The 18,311-nt window shown below is 40.4% G+C and overlaps 1 protein-coding gene across 12 annotated transcripts in view; it reads right to left on the bottom strand.

Moving 5' to 3' along the window:
* The window catches only part of TPD52L1 (TPD52 like 1), a 110,635-nt gene that overhangs the window by 41,789 nt on the left and 50,535 nt on the right, over positions 1-18,311 (bottom strand). For 11 of the 12 annotated variants that reach the window (NM_001318903.2, NM_003287.4, NM_001003396.3 and 8 more), the window contains exon 2: positions 2,426-2,541. In NM_001318903.2, the coding sequence (NP_001305832.1) occupies positions 2,426-2,541 (116 nt within the window). Of the gene's footprint in view, positions 1-2,425; positions 2,542-2,812; positions 5,019-18,311 lie in introns of those variants that run through there. The other variant, XM_047419286.1, reaches the window with a different exon arrangement.

The following is an 18,311-nucleotide window of genomic DNA, read 5'->3' as shown; positions in this document are numbered from 1 at the left end:
CAGCTTTTATTTTGAATTATTTATTTCACAGAAGAGACGAGGAAAGTAGGGAGAGGAAGGAAACAAAGAGGAGGCTGGACACCTGGCACACTCAAGACCTCTTTTCAGCAAAGCAGTCAGGGGTCAGAAGTCCTTGTACACACAGGTCTTGCTTTGGATCATGACCACAACTGAGTGCCTGACTCCAAGGCCGTCATCTAATAGGCTGGTCTCTGAGGTATCTTTGGTACCCAAGGAGCTAACAGACCCAGTAGGATCTCTCCTCAGACAGAAAGAGGAGTTGTCTGTGACCAGGGGCCCATAAAGAATCTCTGTGGAGAATTGGGGCAGAGGGGCTGACTCTATAGGAGGCCTCAGTTCTTCATAAGGCCAGCAGTGAGACTGCAGAGATGGCTTTCTATGTGTCCTTGTTAAAATTGAATCCTAGCATTGAAGGTAAAATCCGAATGCATACGTGCTATCAGGGAACTTGAGTTCCTGTGTCCACACATCCGCATGCACACTTGTAAAAGAGTAAGGAAAGCTGTTTTAAAAACAGAATGAGCATAAAGCAGAGGTGGCCTGACGTGGAGGAGGAGAAAGAGAAATGTGAAGAAGAAAAATCGCAAAGATACACTTTCTCTGCTTTTCACCAGGCCTGGGGCAGAGAGCTGTGCTCATGTGCCCCTGGAAGTCACGACGCTACCTTTGGCAGCATGCGGTACTTCTTCATCTCCGAAGAACCCAGAAATAAGAGCCAGGAAGCATGGAGGCTAGTGCAAAACATGAATCCTGGTAACTTGAACACAGTAACAAAGAGTCTGGTGTTATTTCCAGAAGTCAGGCTCAAAAACTCTTAGGAGTGAAATGTTCTGGAAGTGTATTACTGTGGCCAAATGAGACAGGAATTTCTGAAAACACTTCTATTTTTTCATATTCATGGGGCATCCATTTAAAACCAATACTTACTTTTTTCTTGATTATAAAAGTAGTATCATGCTCACTGTTGACATTTAGAAAATAATGTACAAAAATCAGCATGTATTAGTATATGTATGTATGTATACCCCAGTAATCCTACAGCCCAGAAAAATAAAAATCGAGGCATTTTATAGAAATTGGTCAGTTACAGACATTGTGCCTAAACTTAAACTAGCATTATCACCATGATGGAGTGAAGTTTTAGCTTAGACTCAGTTGGCTTACCCCACTCTGCAGAACATGACATTTGGACCCTGCAGTTGACATGAACTAGTCATGAGCCAGAATTTCAGGCCATAAGAATATGTGGAGTCAGTCCATTATCTGTTAATGCTAACTTTGGTCTGTGCACTCTGGTACGTGCAGCCACTCAGTGGCCACAGACAGACCCAGCTAAAGATTTGAGGCACTGTGCTTACTGAAATCATTTTTGGTTATACCAGAGGAACGTGCTGCTCTTTCATTTTGAAATGAAATTAACTTGGAGGTGTGTCTTGTAAAAGCACCTGAAAATCTTTAATATTATTCTGAGCTGTCATAGACAAACACTATCAGGAGGCTAGAACTCAGAGTTCAGAGTGGACAAAGTGGGGAGAGGGTAAGGTGGAGCTCAGAGCTGTGTCCTCAGCCTGTGGAGAGGCCAAAGCAGGAAGGCCAAGCCTTGCTTCTGTGGGAACAGGATCTTCCTGGCCTATGAGCCAGGACACAGAATGCAGAGGGAATGTTGGCCTCAGCTCCTCTGGCTCTGCTGCTTCCTCCTACTCAAGGAGCCCTTTTTACAACACTCTCCTCCTAGAAAGTAAAGGCTTGTCAGCAAAGTGTCTAAAGTGGGTATTGCAAGCAAAAGACTTGAACAAAGATGTGTATTCATAATGAGCCTGACATCCTCCTCCTCCCTAGGTCCGGATCCCCACAGCAGCTCCACAAGATCTAATTAGGCCTCGATGAAGCATTGCTTTCCTCTCTACCCCTAGAGCTTTATTTTTCTGCCAAAAAGTACACAACTTATAAATTCAGTTGCTTCTATGATTGACTTTTTCATTTAAAAAAATCATTTCAAAGTAATTGTTGAGCTAAGTTGCTGACCTAAAACCAGAACCCATCTTCAAAAGGATCTTGCACCTATAACATGGTCTGGAATGAATTCTATCAGGTTTGTAAGTAATTTATTATTCCCATAGTATTCTGACAGTAAAAAGAATAAGAAGTGTATATTTAAAACTGGTTATTATTGTTGCTTAAGCAGCACAATGATTCATTCTACAACTGTAACTAATAAGTAATATGTAACAGTAGAAAAATACCCTGGAAAAATGAATCATCTTGTAATGTATTCATTTATAAATTTTATTAAATGAAAGACAACATCATTACAATACAACATCATTACAATTATTATATCAAACTAATAATAACTCTTAAGATCCAGAGATAGAAATAGCAACAATAAGATTACTAAACATACCTGAACTAACTCTGCTTTTAACTCTTCCTTTTCCTCCTCAGAGAGCATGCTAGAGAAGTCAGCACTGGCTACTGCATCTTCGTCTGTTCCTTGCAACGGTTCAGTCTCCAACAAACCTTTAGGCAGAATTGATAAAACAGAAGGCAATTTTTAAAGTGAATTTAAACCAACTTCTGCTTCCATAGTGTGGAGGACTAGATGCACTGACAGACCCTCCCACCAAAAAACAACTAAAAATTCCAGAAAAGACAAAAATCCTCCTAAATGTGTGACGAGCTCCAAGAAAGCAAAGAATACCAAGAAGCCAAAAAAAGAAAAAAATTAAGAGAAAATGAGAAGGCAGAGATGTAAACAGGACAAGCTTTCAGGGAGGTCTACATTTACCACCTTGGTGAATTCCAGCTTAGCTCTTCACTGTCTCATGAGGCGTAAGGGCAGAGGACAAAGCCCAAGGCCCGCCCATGGAGAGGGGTTTAATGTGAGATTCCTGTGTAAATTGTAGGCCCCAAGGGCTGCACCCTGAGAGTCAGGTGAACTAGAAATAAATACCTTCATTCTTTACACAGGGATCTGAAAGGCAAGTTGCCCATCTTGAAACTCAGGACTGAATGGACAGAGAAAAAAATCCTCCCCTGAGAACTCGTGACCCTGAGTGGGACTGCATGGGAAAGCAGCTTGCAACTTGAATGCACACCACCTGGGTCGTCCACAACAACCTTGAGGTTAGAATTTAAAATATGAAGCCTTTTTTCCACTGCAGATGTGGCTCGAAGCAGTTGGAGCTGTGAGGAATCATCACTGACAAACTGACTCTGGCAGAGGAAAATATGGGAAGAGCCGGGGTTCTTGATGCCATCATTGTGCCTTGGGTTAACCCAGAATAGCTTCTAACTTGTTATGTGAGATAAATGACTTCTTATTTAAAATATAAAGAAGTTCCCTGGTAGGGCCCCTCAACATCTGGCTGACTCAAATGCCTGTGTTCTCCAGGGAACCCAGGAAACAGGTCCACACTCAGAGAGAAACTTCATCTATGACATGATTCCAGTCAGCTGGCATTTACACCTCTGTAGGGAAAGAAAATGAAACATTCAAATACAAAGGGGTCCCTGGAGAAACTCCCACCGGCCTGAGCACTGGGAGAACAGGTTGAGCCATGGAAGTTTCTGCCGGTTTTAGGGGGTAGGAGTCTGTCCTTTCTTTTTCCGGGGTGGTAACTGGGAATTCTATCTGTGAGATGGGGATCTGTTAACAGGAAGCTCTCTTGCTTTGCTGAGTTTTTTTCCTTTTCACCCAATAAATTCCATTTTTCTCACCCTTCAAAGTGTCTGCAAGCCTAATCTTTCATGGTCGTGTGACAAGGACCCGTTTTTAGCTGAACTAAGGAGAAAGTCCTACAACAGAAGAGTTTTTAATAGATTGTCCTAGAACAGTTATCTCTATAGAAAAAACACATTGGACACCTTTAAACCATTCACAGGGACAAAACTATAAACATTTTAGAAGACAATCTAGAAGTTTGTGTTTATGAACCTCTGGTTAGGAAGGGACTTCTTAAGACACAAAAAGGCAAACCATGAAAAACGGACGAACAAGATTAATAATGGCTCTTTATCAAAGACGCTATATGGAAAATGAAAAGACAAGCCACTAATTGGAAGAAGATATCTCTCACATATATAACTAAAAAGATTTGTTCCCGATATATACAGAATTCCTACAGACCCACTTTAAAACCAGAAATAATCCAATAGAAATATGGGTCAAAAGACCTGAACAGATGATTTATAGACAGAAATCACAAATGTTAATAAACCCAGGAAAGCATGCTTGACTTCACTGAAGCAAACATGCTTGACTTCACTGATGCTCAGGGAAATACAAATTAAATTAGTTCACGCTCAGTAGATTAGCAAAAATTTACAAGTCTGACATTACTAAATGTTGGTGACTGTGCAAAGATAGAAGCTCTCATATACTGCTGGCAAGAATATAAATAGATAAAAATAATTGGAAAATGATTTAGCATGGTCTACATTGTATATTAAAATTGGACATTCACATACCCTATAACCTAGCAATTCCACTGTGTATAGACCTGAGACAACCTACATGAGCATTAGATGTTATACATGCACATCAGACGCCATTAATAAAAGCTTTCATAGTGTCAACAAACTGTAAGTCACACAAAAGTTCATAAACAGGACAATACATAAGCATACTGTGGTGCATTTCCATGATAAAGACTGGACAATAGCAAAATGAATGAACTATCACTATACACACCACATGGATAAAACTTGGAAATAAGATATCGAGTGAAAAATGCAAGTTGCAGAAGAATAAGTATAATTCTACTTAATGAAGTACAAAAGCACACAAAACTAAAATATCACTTAGGAATTAAATTATAAAGAAAAGCAAAGCAATAATAAAAAATTTAGGACTGTGGTTTTCTCAAGCCAGAGAGGAAAGGAGAAAGGAATGGAGGATCCCATAGGGCAGAGGTCCCCAACTCCCGCGCCATGGACCAGTACCGGTCTGTTACCTGTTAGGAACCAGATCACACCACGGGAGGTGAGAGGTGTGCGAGCTGGCAAAGCTTCATCTCTATTTATGGCCACTCCCCACTGCTTGCATTACCACCTGAGCTCTGCCTCCCATCAGGTCAGTAGCAACATTAGATTCTCATAGGACCGCAAACCCTATTGTGAACTGCACATGCGAGGGATCTAGCTTGCGTGCTCCTTATGAGAATCTAGTGCCTGATGATCTGTCACTGTCTCCCGTTTCCCCCAGATGGGACCGTCTAGTTGTAAGAAAACAAGCTCAGGGCTCCCACTGATTTTACATTATGGTGAGTTGTATAATTATTTCATTATATATTACAATGTAATAATAATAGAAATAAAATACACAATGAAAGTAATGTGCTTGAATCATCCCAAAAACATCACCGCCACCCTTTGTCTGTGGAAAAATTATCTTCCACGAAACCAGTTCCTGGTGCCAAAAAGGTTGGGGACTGCTGCCTTAGGGAACTCTTACAGGATCAATGGTCATACTCCATTTCTGGACACTGACTTTCTGTTCATGAGTATTTTCTCCACTTTACCTTTATATTGTAAATATTCTTTTGTGTACTTATAATTATTTAATAAACAAATGAAAATGGATTTTGTCTAAAGTAAAAAGAAAAAGGCAAATAATTATCCTACAAAATCAGAACATTTTAGATAAAGAGAATAAAAATATGGCTCAAGTGTGTATAGTTCTGAAGCTGTCCCTTCTCTTGAGTCCCTGGTATTCACATCCTTATGTCTGAATCAATAGTGTGCCATTGGCACCCTGATGTCACTGCCAACACGGTAACAAACATTAGTAAACGTGGCATATTGCTGATCCACGTTCATCAGATCCTCATCCCTTCTCTCTATGCCAGAAGCCAGTTTCAATGCTAAGTAATTTCCTTTTTCATAAGTAATATCTGATCATCCTAGAAGACAGTAAAATTATCCACTATTAATTAAAATCAACATTAATCATATTACCCAAAAATTGGTATTTTGATCCTTCCTTTCTGGTATTTCTTCTGAGCATAGGTGTATTAATATTTTCATATATATATATATATATATATATATATATATATATATATATACACACACATACTGAATTTACTGTTGCAAACTTGGTTTATTTATTCAATAGGATATTATGAATATCTTTTCGTGTGTAAAGACACACATATACATTTATATATTTTCAATGGTTGTGCTTTATTTTGTCTTATGGATGATTAATAATTTACCCTGTTTGCTGGGAAGCTGCAGTGAACATCTCCTAGCTAAGTCATTAGGTGCTTCACGATGACTTCCTATCCATTGGATTTCTCAGTCAAATGGCATGGACATTTTGTAACCTACTGCTAAACTATCACCCAGAGAGGCTGTACCAGTTTTATGCAACATCAGCAACCTATGAGACTACAGACTCAAGAGAATGTAGGGAACAGCCTCTTGGTAAAACAATGTAACTTACAGGTCATTTAACATTTTAGTCAATGCTCTAGGATAACGATCTAAACCAGGAATCAGCAGCAATTCCAAGCACAGCTATGAGAGATAGACCCAGAAAGTAAGCTCCACCCCACCCCTGCAGTGGGGGTCAGCAGACAGTCCTGGGGGTACTGCAACACACTGTGGACTTCTCCCCACTCAGCCTGGCCCAAGGACTTACAGATACTGCTCAAACTTAGCTGGAACCCAAATTCTCAGTCTTCCCTATCTTCATAACGTGAGAAGACATGCTCCAGGGAATAAACAACAGTTCCAGGTCCTTAGACTTTTCAAGACATCAAACATCTTTAGTACCTTCTATATTCTAGTAAGAAAAGAAAGTTCAAAACCCTGTTTAACTGGTAATACATGAATTGGGAAACTTCGAGTGAATCTAGGGAAAGACAGACCCAGTACCCAGCCGGTAGCTTCCACTTTTCAGAGGGGGAGCGCATAAACCTTACAAAGTGAGAAACTCTGAACTGGCCTTCAGCTCTGATGGGCCAAACATCCCACTCCTCAGAGACATCACGAATCTTTCAAAGTCTCACTGCCAGAAACCACCCATTCAAGAAATCTGCCCAGAGACCAGGTTGCTAGTTAGTCTAGGTTTAAGCTCTCCTCATCCTTTCTCTACCTAGGCACATATTTTTCCCTGTTACATCTTGTCCCAGTGGTGCTCTCTGAGTTATACACAGGGTGTCACATAAACAGAGACAAAATGAAAACAAGATCTGCTATTTTTAGCAGAATATGTTCAACTCACTGAGTTAGGAAAGCAGCAATCAAATGATGAGGTCAAAGGATAATTCAAGAATCAAGAAGTAGTTAAAAAGAGGAGTTGGATTAAAAAGGTAATTAACTAGTGAAATGAAGTCAAAACCAGGAATGAAAAAAGCAAATGGTGAAAGATACCAAATGACAGATGATAATGCAAGAAGGGCAATAAAATAAGTATAAAATTACCTAGTTACCATGGAAGCAGATATTAGAAAAAGTTAAAAAAAATTTTTCAGTGAAAGCAATTATCACTGGGCAAATGCTCAAGTCACCACTTTTAGCAAGTACCAGTATATTATGAACCAATTTCATGAACTTGGTTCTCTTTTCCAAATGTGCAAACTGTGGCCCCCTGTCTGGCACAGAAGAAGGAGCACTCTAATGGGAGTCAGGAGATCTGGAATTCTAGTTGTGGGTTTGCTATTAACTAGCAGAGTACGTTTGACCTCAATTATCTCATCTGTAAAATGGATACCTTGTAGGATTGTTGCTAAGGTTAAATGATGTTAAATCAGATAATATACTTGAAAATGCTATAAAATTTTAAAATTTCCAAACAAACTACAGCAGCATGAAATTGGGGAGTAATAGTTTTTAAAAGTATTCTCTTTGCCTCTCCCAAAATGTAATATTTTCCTAGCTGGTCTAAGGCATCCATCTGCCAGTGGCAGGACAGAGAAGTTAAAGAAACACAAAGAAAAGGTTAATATTTAGGATTTTGGCATTTGAAATTGGATTTACCAGCAAGAAAAGAGATATGCAGAAAAAAGTTTTTTTTGAGGCAATGTTCTACATATCATTATTTCTCTCTTGGCATAGCAAAAGCCAAGCCCAGGACATCCAGCCCAAGCAGTTCCCCTTAGATACCCCTTAGATATCTAGGACTTACCGAGGAGGTATGTGCCTCTGGCTCTATCCCTGGTAGATTGTGGGAAGAGGAAAGGAGGAGAGAATGAGGAGAGCTAAGCCCTGAGATGTGTATGTCCCACCTTTCTCTCTGGGCATTGGCCCAGAAAGTATGAAATGGGTTACACTTAGAGAAGAATCTGCTGGAGATTCTGTTCACTCCTTCAGACCCACTCTCTACCCTCCTCTACCCTTCTCTGTGCCCAGGAGATGACCTAAGGATTATATCAATATGATTCCCATGCCCTTGGCCAATGGGAAGCCCCTGCAGGACACTGGAGGGCAGAAGCGAGTGGTTAGCAAATGTCTAGTCCTGCCTGTCTCCCTCCCTGCCAGGCTGCATCTTGCAGTTTCAGCTTTCAACTACCACAGGCCAAAGCTCCCATTAGGTAGCTCCCTTCTACAGCTCAGCCATCGTCTGGTTCCAAGAACTCTCCTCTGGCCTAAGGACTGTATTGACTTCCTACTGCGGCTGTTCCAAGGTGCTTCAACACTGTTTGATGCCCTTAACTCTTGTCATTTTTCTGATGGCCCATTCACTAAGCTTTCTGGAATCAGGCATCCCTTTTGGGCATGCCACCCATTTACATCTTTCCTGGTCCTTGAATGGTATAGGAAGCCTGCCCCAATTTCCTTTTTGAACTCTAGGAAGGAATATCCTTCAGGCTATCCCACACCAACCTGGTACACAGCCACATCACTGTAACCTTGGCAGGTCCAGGGGTGTTGGACAGAGAGGCCCCTCGTGTTTAATTCTCCAACTCACTCTTCTGCAGTCAGTTAACCATGGATAGGATTCAGAACTTCTCATGGTTCTTAGGGAGAAACTCACCAACTTGGCAAGAAGTTGGTGCTCCTGCATCAGGGGCTGGGGTTACCAGCCCTGGCCAGAGGACAAATGGAGGAAGTGGAAAGAATCTCCCTCCAATGAGAGCCAAGGCAAAGCTGAATCAGCTCGGAGGGGCTACTGAACTGAAACTCAGCTGAGGGAGACAAGATCATGAGTAGTATCTGCAAAAAACTTCAGCACCAGGGGACATCATGTTCCCAGCTACCTGAAGAGCCATACAAGCAGAACACAAGGCACTGCATAGTCCTTCAGGCTTCCATACACCAGGCACACCAGATGCCTCCCTAGCTAGGACACAGGAAAATGGGATCTGAAAAAGGAGAAATCTGAACTAGAAGATAACTTTGCTGAAGGAAATGAGTAATATTTAAAGAGGTTTTTAAAATAATTGCATTGGAATGGACTAGGCCTAATATTTTTTCCCCCACTACTCAAAGCCTAGGTGCTCATACTCACACCAAGTATAGGTTAAAAAAAATTGAGCACATATACATACCAAGCTGTAGTGTAAATAAATGTTGCTACCCTGCTATTGGAGTATTTGGTACTTAAAGATAGCCATTTTACTCTTTTACATGCAATAAAATATATAGAATTGTTTTAATAAAGGTAACAAATAATCATAGATCTGATTATAATCTAGTAATTGCACTTCTCCGTTGGCCAGGTGAGGTCTGTGGAAAACAGGTAGGCTTTAAAATATTTGTCAAATGTTACTATGTGCCTGTTTTCACTATACCTACAGTTAGCCAGTGATGACTCCATTTAAGTCTCCCATGCAGAGCTGAACAACACCACAAATTAAACCAGCTCCAACTGAGAAGTCACAATGTTCACTGTGGTCTGCTCCCAGCCTTGCTGATGAAGACCTGCATTCATGGGACCTGGGGCTCAGTCCCAAGTTGCTGGGCTTTAACTAAAGCTAGTCTGGCACCAAAGCTTATGCCCTTCCCTGTCTTAAGCCATCTGAAGAATGTAGGCAAAATCTTGGCAAGTATGAATCAAGAGATCAGCTTTAGATTAAAGTGCCTCCTTCAACCTTGCAATGAAATCACTCATTGGCATCCACACACTTCCAGCGCATGCTGGCAAGCTCTCCTGTGGAGTAGGTGGTGGCTTCATGGCCATGATTGAAACAATACAGAGGACCGGGAGTTAAAATGATTACAAACTATGATTTTGGATCAGTAGCCATATCCTGCATTGTTGGCAAATATGTAAAAGTTGCAGAATCGCTTTTGAATAGTAAAATAATCTTGCACTGTATTAGAAAATTAAATAAGTCCAACTGTGTAACCAAGCAAAGGGAGGAAAGCATACACTTTCAAAAAGAATACAAAATTATCCTAGGACTTAATAAAAGAAGGAATGCAATAAAGTAGCTTATATGAAAATTTTCCATGTTTTAAATAATAGATTTAAGACTGTAATATTTATTAATTAATTATATTTTCTTCATGATGTTTGGTAAAAATAACCTCAAGCATTCCTTAACATAAAACTTCAAAATATCTACATGTATTCCCCAAGTGAAAAATTATTGAGCTAATCATATTACTGTTGGATTTATGATTATCTTTAAGACCACAAAAAATCTAACACGAGTCAATTCTAGATGGAAATTAAAGATATAAAACAAGTTTATTTATTAGAATTGTACTTTCTGTGCATTTACTAAAAGTACTACATTAACCTAGATATTATTTCTTAAGAACGTTCATCATTGAACAGCATGCTTTTCCTTCATTTGCTAACAACTCGTATCTCGCCTATTATTGAATCAGGTGTGTAGTAGAAAAGTCTCTTAAGTGTGTTTTATTCCTGTTGCCGTGAAGTTTTGGCAGAGGCTTCAAATGCTAAGATCAATACCACGGGAGATGTATATCCCCAAATCCTAAAGCCAATGCTTGAAATCTAATGTGTGAACTCTAATGCGTGACATGCTGAAAGAGTTTAAAAGTGGTTCTCCTGGGGCTGGGGATCACCTACTTGAACCTTTGAGAGTGGGATGAGAGTGGATCAGGGAAATCTGCATACACAGACGAGCAATCATAAAACGCAAGTCATACTGTCACCTCCCGGAAATCACCACTGCAACATTCGGGCACATTTCTCTGGATCTTTTCCTACATATTGCAGCACAGACTTTTTTTTTCTCACATTTAACATCTTTGAAATCAGGATGGCTTTCATAATCAATTATGTCTTGCAATTAATTGACAGCACTTTTTCTTTCTTACAGATATATAAAACAATGGGTATTTTACATCTTTAACATATGTGTTACACGATAGATAGATAGATAGATAGATAGATAGATAGATAGATAGATAGACAGATCCATATATCTAAAAATGAAATCGCAGTATTTTGTAACTTGATTTTTTTCAAACAACTTTCTCCTTTTATCCTTCTCATCTCCTCTAAAACCTGACCATATCAAAGGTTCCCAATTGGTCCCCTAATTTATTTAGAGCTAGTTTCCTCAAACCAATATTAAATAAAAAACTACATACTTGCCTAATTATGTGCCTTAAGTGTCTTTACCTGACTAATGACTCATGGAAGAGTCCTGGCTCTGTCCTGCAGAATTCATCCCGATATTTTGCTTAATGATCCGTCGATTGCAAGATAGTATAGTGATATTGGAAAGGGTATAACTTTGGGGAACAAACCAATCTCAGGAAGAATTCCAGCTCCACCCCTTTTCAACTTTGTAACTGTGATAGTTGAAATCTCAGTCTTTTCATCTGTAAAATGGGGATAATAATGCCTACCCACAAGAATAAATTGTGAGAGATTACAGTTTTGTAAAATGCCTAACACAGTGTCTGGCATATAATAATCAGTTAGCACATTAGCTCCCAATCTGGTCATACTTGAACATTCTTCCTTGATCAGAATTATTTATAAAATTGAAGCCCTATAGAAGAAAGAACAGAAGCTATTATTCTGTCCTCAAGAAGCAAAAATATTTCACTGTGGTGCCACCCGCATATATACCTTACATGCATATACACCAGTACATGGCAGTCTGTAATTACATACAAAATGAATGCCCTGGAGAAATACAAACCCACAGGCCATGTTCAGTTTCTTATTCTGGCTTAATCTGTCTGATCCTTAGAAGGGAGCCCTATGGTCATTTGGCATTACCTTCTCTGGCTATTGCTTAATGGACTGAGATGGGCATCTGACCCAGGGGTATTCTCTGGATTCCTCTGTTGGGATTTTGGGCCAAGAGACACAGGAGAGTTAAGTGCAGTAAGATTAAGTCAGTTATTGGTAGGACAGTAGTGTAGTCCTCAGTATTCCTCTGAGCTCCCTTAGGTCATTTGTGAGTTCATTTGTTCATTCATTCATTCATTCATTCTTTTAACGAACACTTATTAAGAATCTAGTAAGTGCTATACAGGTCTCTGAGCTCATTGGAATTTATAATTCGGCCTGGCCTGAGGCCTGATTATTTGACTTCTCCTGAACGTCCATAAGCTTTCTCTTTATCCTAAAAATAAGCCTCATTTTTCATTGGCACTAGTCTGAATGTCATGTTCTTTTTTTCAAAGAAGAGCTCTGAGTTAAACAGAGACTAATAATATCATAGAATTCAGGCAAAAGAGAGATCATTATGAACTCTCTATCAAGTTTCATCTCTATGTCTTCAATGACTTGCCATGACCCCAAATTAAATTAATTAAAAATTCAATAAATTATTTGTTGCCCCAATCTGGCTTCCTCTAAGCCTGCAGAGGTCACTTTGTCTTCTGTACAGTTTTTAAGATCTTGTCTGCAATAAATGGTCTAGGAGTCTAAACCATACCTGAACAATATGACAATTTCCTTCTTTGCTTTCCCTGAGCCCAGCCCCCTTCACTCTGAAGAGAGCCAGGTGTGGGGCACTAGTGAACAGGCCACACAGTGCCCCCAGCACACCTCAACACAGCGGCATTGTTAAGGCATTTGGACTCTCTGAGACAGATGGAACTGTAGCTACCAGTTGTTGGTCTGTGGTCTCTATTTGGATTCTGAAGATAGGTCTGGTAATTAAGATGTGGCCTTTCAATAGTTTACCTGGAAACATTCTCTACATGCATAGAGAGAAGTTCAGGGATGCTGGCTCAACCACAAGAGCCAGAGACCCTTCTGGGACTATAGTGAATATCCCTGGAGAGACCAATCAGGAATTTCCTGGAGGTGAGGGTACAGGACTGGTTTCCCGGAGTCTCCTGAAGCTTGGCATAGACCTCATGACTGTGGGCTTGTCTTTAAGCTATGTTCGTCTTCCTCTGCCCTGAGAAATGCCAGATGGGCGTTCTCTACTCCAATGTTTGAGGCTGGGTTCAATGTGCCTGGCCCTTCATGGCTAGGGCCTCCTGAGAGCATAGGCCACGCTGGAACCTATGGTTTCATTTGGGTCATGTGGCCATAGATGGCAGCCAAGGGTTATATGTCTCCAAGTTGATGATAGTAGTCACTAGGGATTAAGCCTGAAGTCAAGGATCTAAAACAAGTTGGGCGGCCAGTATCAGAGATCAAGGCTGTGTATGGGAAATAAATAAAGCTGTGTCAGAGGCACATGGTAGAGATAAGATTTTGAGACTCTGAAGACAGTGCTCAGCATTGCTTGCCTCAACAGCTCAGCACAGGCTTCTACAGCTTTGAGCTACACCTTGGGCCTGCTGGCTTATTCCTGCCCTAGGGATTGAAAGGTTCTCTTCACTGGTGTGAGGGCTCAGGACCCAGACTCTCCCTGGGAGTGCTGTCACCACACAGCACTCTCTCAGCACCTGGCCCACTCTCAGGCATTTGCTACTTTTTCTCCCGGGTTATGTCTATTTGATTACGTGTCTTACCTCCCTTACTACAATGTTAGCAACTGAATGATAGAAAATCAGTTTTGTTCACCTTGAAACCTCCACATGTCCTAGCATGAGGGTGTAAGGGCAGACCACAGCTAAAGGCAAACGTACTTACTGTGCCTGGAGCCACCAATAAGAAAATGTCTCTAAAAACAGTAACCCAGGATCAGCCACCTGACTGTCATACTAAAGTGTGCCAAAAAAAAAAGGCATTAGTTGATAACAAATGTCACGAGACTGCAAGGGTGATGCTCCCTCCTCCACCAATCCCTTCTGGGAACTATCCATCCTTCTTATAGGAAGAGTTGCTTGCACCTTCTCTTTCAGATTGATGTCCTCTGACAGATAGCAGTTTTACTCCTCTTCCCCAGGCCCTAATCCTTTTTCCTCTGTCCTAGGAAACTATCTTAGATGACTGTGTTTATTCCTCCTTATCCCCAGCTGAATCCTAGTAACATGGATAAAGAATTGCTATCAGGCTACTCTTTGTTGCTCTCTAATGATATCTTGGCCTTGAGAGAAGTTAATGAGGGACTCAAGAACTTCAATTGCAACCAAGCAGTATAATAATCTACTGTTCTTAAACTTTGTTGAGTTCTTCTCTATGAGTCATGCCCAAATGTATCCTGAAACTCAGACAAAGGAACTGCCCTGACTCTGAAACTATATTGAAAAAGGGATAACTGCTGCTACCACTGCAGGAACTTTCTCGAAGCAGCTGCTCAGTTACTTCTCTTAAGGGAAGAAGTGGAATAAATGTGTGTGTTTCTTTTTAACTGCATGCTATGCTCCAGGTGTGTTACATATCTTATCTTGCCTCGTCCTCCCTAGAAACACATTAGGCAGGTGGCATCAAGCACTATAAAGGGTCTGAGATTTTGCTCAGCTTGCAAGCTAACAAGTTAGTCCACAACAGTGCCATGGATTCTGGCAGATTCCAGACTCCTAGATCAGAGACTCATGGCACAGCAAATAGCATGAACATTGTGTTCCAGTGGGTTCCCCTTGCTACCAAGTCCCATGGAGGGTGAAATGGAGGGACCTAGGTGGATACTGCACAAGCAATGGGTTTGCATCTCAGCTGAAGAAACTTGAGCTCAGGGAATCTGAATCTTTTCTAATAGGCAGTAAGCAAACCTTTGCTCTGGAGGAAGAAGCAAAACTGACTTCTGCTCTAGAAAGAGACACTGTCTCTGTCTTCCAACGTTTTTCACTATTAAGAAATTTGAATGGATAGTCCAGAAAAAAGACCATCAGTGTCTCTGCTTACAAAATGTGTAGAAACAGAAGAGATCTATGGAGAATCGTCTTCCATAGGTGGCATTTCCTCATTTTCCAAAAAGGAAATGATGGTTCAGAAAGTTAAATAAATTGCCCAAACTCACATAACTGATGAGTGGTGAACTTGAGATTTTAATGCAAATCTGTTAGGTTACAGAATTCATGCTATTTTGACTTTACCACAACACCTCATGCAGAAATTTGACAGGAACTGAAATCTCCCAATCCCACTCAAGACTCCATCTGGGCTTACTGAATGCCTAAGCCTGAGCTTTAATAGCTGCAGTTTCCCCACATCGACCACTAGGAAAGGTCCAGGGTGGCTTATGTCTCCCAAACTCTTTCTGATAGGACTTGATCAACCAATGTTTGTTGAATTAATCCCCTAAGACAAAAACAATCAAGTCTTCTTGATGCTCTTTTCATAATATCTGTGATGTTTGTTTGTCAATAGCAAAAAATAGTTAATGTTCTTGATGCATTGACTCCAGGAACTTCCTTCACTGAGCAAACTACCAGACTGCATGAGGAAAAATAAATAACCCTTTAATTTTCATCGCTATATGACAGTGATTTAGGGGTTTCATCACTACATACTCACACTACTGAAGTCTTAGCCAAATTTCATCTTCCTGCTTGTATTCTCTTTCTCCACCACCCAATCTACACAACACTGAATATTTTGAACACATTGCTTTCAACATGCCAAAACCCTGTTCAAAAAACATTCAATGGATGGATTCTCCATTGCTTCTGGCGTAGATTTGAAAATTCTTATATAATCATTCAAAGTCCTCCATAGCTGGCTGTAAGTGGTGATTCCACCTAGACTGCCTGTGATGTCCCTACCAAAGCCTCTAAGCCATGTAGGCTGTCACACACAGCATTCCTCAGTCATGTTCTATTCAGTCCTAGCTTTTAGTGCCATCTGTCACTCTAGAAAACCTCTTTTTCCTCTGTTTCTCTTGTAAGAATCCTACCAAATTGCCAACAGCACTAGAATAATGAGTATCATGTTCTGTGCCTTCATTTGATCTAAAATATTTTTTCATCTCATTATATATATACAAAATATTATATACATTACTAGATACCTTACCACTATATACTATATACAGTATAAATGACATTACAAATTGCATTATAAATTGCACTAAGACACATAATATTACCTATTACTATAGTTATGGTTAAACACTTTATGAAGAAAATATTTCAGACATCGTCCTCTAAACATTTATTGTCCTTCTGAAAATATAAAGAACACATGAGTCACCACTATTAATAGTACTGTTGTCTAAAGCTTTGGTTTCATTAATAATGTGGCTAAAAAAAGAAATTATGTCTGCAATGCTCAGCCTGAGAATGTACTAATCAGTTGACTATAGAAAGAGCTTAGAAGATGCTTCTGAAGTTGTAGCCGACCACATTAAACATCTATTCCTTTTTTGTTGTTGTTAAATATGCTGCTTAGGTGACAATCCAAATAGTTAGATGCTGATTAAAATGGACTCTAGTCTCAAAAGAAACATTTGTGGCTGTCCAAAACCTAACTTGGGCTAAAAATGGAAGTGACGTGCTATTACATATAGAGGTCAACAAATACATGGAACTCTTTCCTTCCCTTTCTCATTCTTCCATATGTACAAGGTGGCCATCTTCTGACTGCCAGGAAAAATATACCATTGATACAATAATCTCAGGTTAACCATGTATTATTAAGTCACCAAAATTCAATGTAATACTAAAGATAGCAGAAAGTATATGGTACCCAACAGTTAACCAAGTACCACATGGTCCTAAAGGGTGGAGAATCTTCCAGGAGCTCAAACCAATTAAAGGTTTCAGGAATATACATAAGCCTAAATTATTATCTCTGTGGCCAAGACCTAAGCAAGGACTCCTATTCACCTCCAGAGACAAGAATCTCAGAGAGCCTGAACTGGCTGCTTTTACCCAAGGCCTCCCTGGTCCCATCCCTAGCTTGTGCCTATACAGTATGCTCTTGAAGGCACTGGAAGCTGTGGAAATTTGGAGTGATGGGAAGGACCATCTAAGGTGACACTGCTCAGAAGCGTGGGAGTGGCTGGCTTGGGACATCATTTCACTGGGCTAACTACAGAAAATGTCCCTGCATTAAGACCCAGCTTTCATTACCACATAAGATCAGCCGGCCTTTCAGGTCGGGGTCACCAAGTTTGCTGCATATTTGAGACATATCATATTCCAAGGCTTCACCTGTGTTTTCTTAGGTCCAGAAATTGTATTCCATCAGTTTACACAATGGTGATTAGCCTCTTGGGAGATAATTTCTACTAACAAATCTGCTGGGAGACTGGTTTGACTAGTAGACCAAATACCTTAAGGTAAATTCTGTGCTCTCTTTCCTTCCTCAGAACAAAATCTACTTGAAAAACCAAATGAACAGCAAAAGATTATTTGCTAAACATTGTGGAGAATAAAGAGTTAGGTGACTTAATATTGAAGCACTTACTATGCTGTATTTTAATTCCACAATTCATTGTCTTTTTCTTCCTCTAGATTGTTAGATGCCCCATTCTTCGTATCACTGCTTCCTTGTTCACACTAGGTGTTCAATAAATATTTGGGGAATAATTTAATTAGCTATCATGCCCTTACATTTGTACTATTCAAATGCCTATAAATTAAATCTGATAGGCCTGGCGCAGTGGCTCACGCCTGTAATTCCAGCACTTTGGGAGGCCGAGGTGGGCGGATCACGAGGTCAGGAGATCGAGACCATCCTGGCTAACACGGTGAAACCCCGTCTCTATTAAAAATACAAAAAGTTACCCGGGCGTGACGGCGGGCGCCTGTAGTCCCAGCTACTAGGGAGGCTGAGGCAGGAGAATGGCGTGAACCCAGGAGGCGGAGCTTGCAGTGAGCCGAGATCGCCCCACTGCACTCCAGCCTGGGCGACAGAGTGAGACTCCGTCGAAAAAAAAATAAAAATAAAAAATCTGATAACTAGCCAGGGAAGCACATTTCTTCTTAAAGTGTTGAATATAAAATAACCAAGACTTGCAACCAATGCAATGACCATTAACAAGGGTAGCAAATAACATGTGCTAGAGAAGTAACAATCAGCACGCATCAGTATACCAGCTCTACTAGAACCATCACTCCAT

Source organism: Homo sapiens, chromosome 6, assembly GCF_000001405.40.
Source record: "Homo sapiens chromosome 6, GRCh38.p14 Primary Assembly".
Classification (NCBI taxonomy): domain Eukaryota; kingdom Metazoa; phylum Chordata; class Mammalia; order Primates; family Hominidae; genus Homo; species Homo sapiens.
This window is presented reverse-complemented; position numbering and strand designations above follow the sequence as displayed.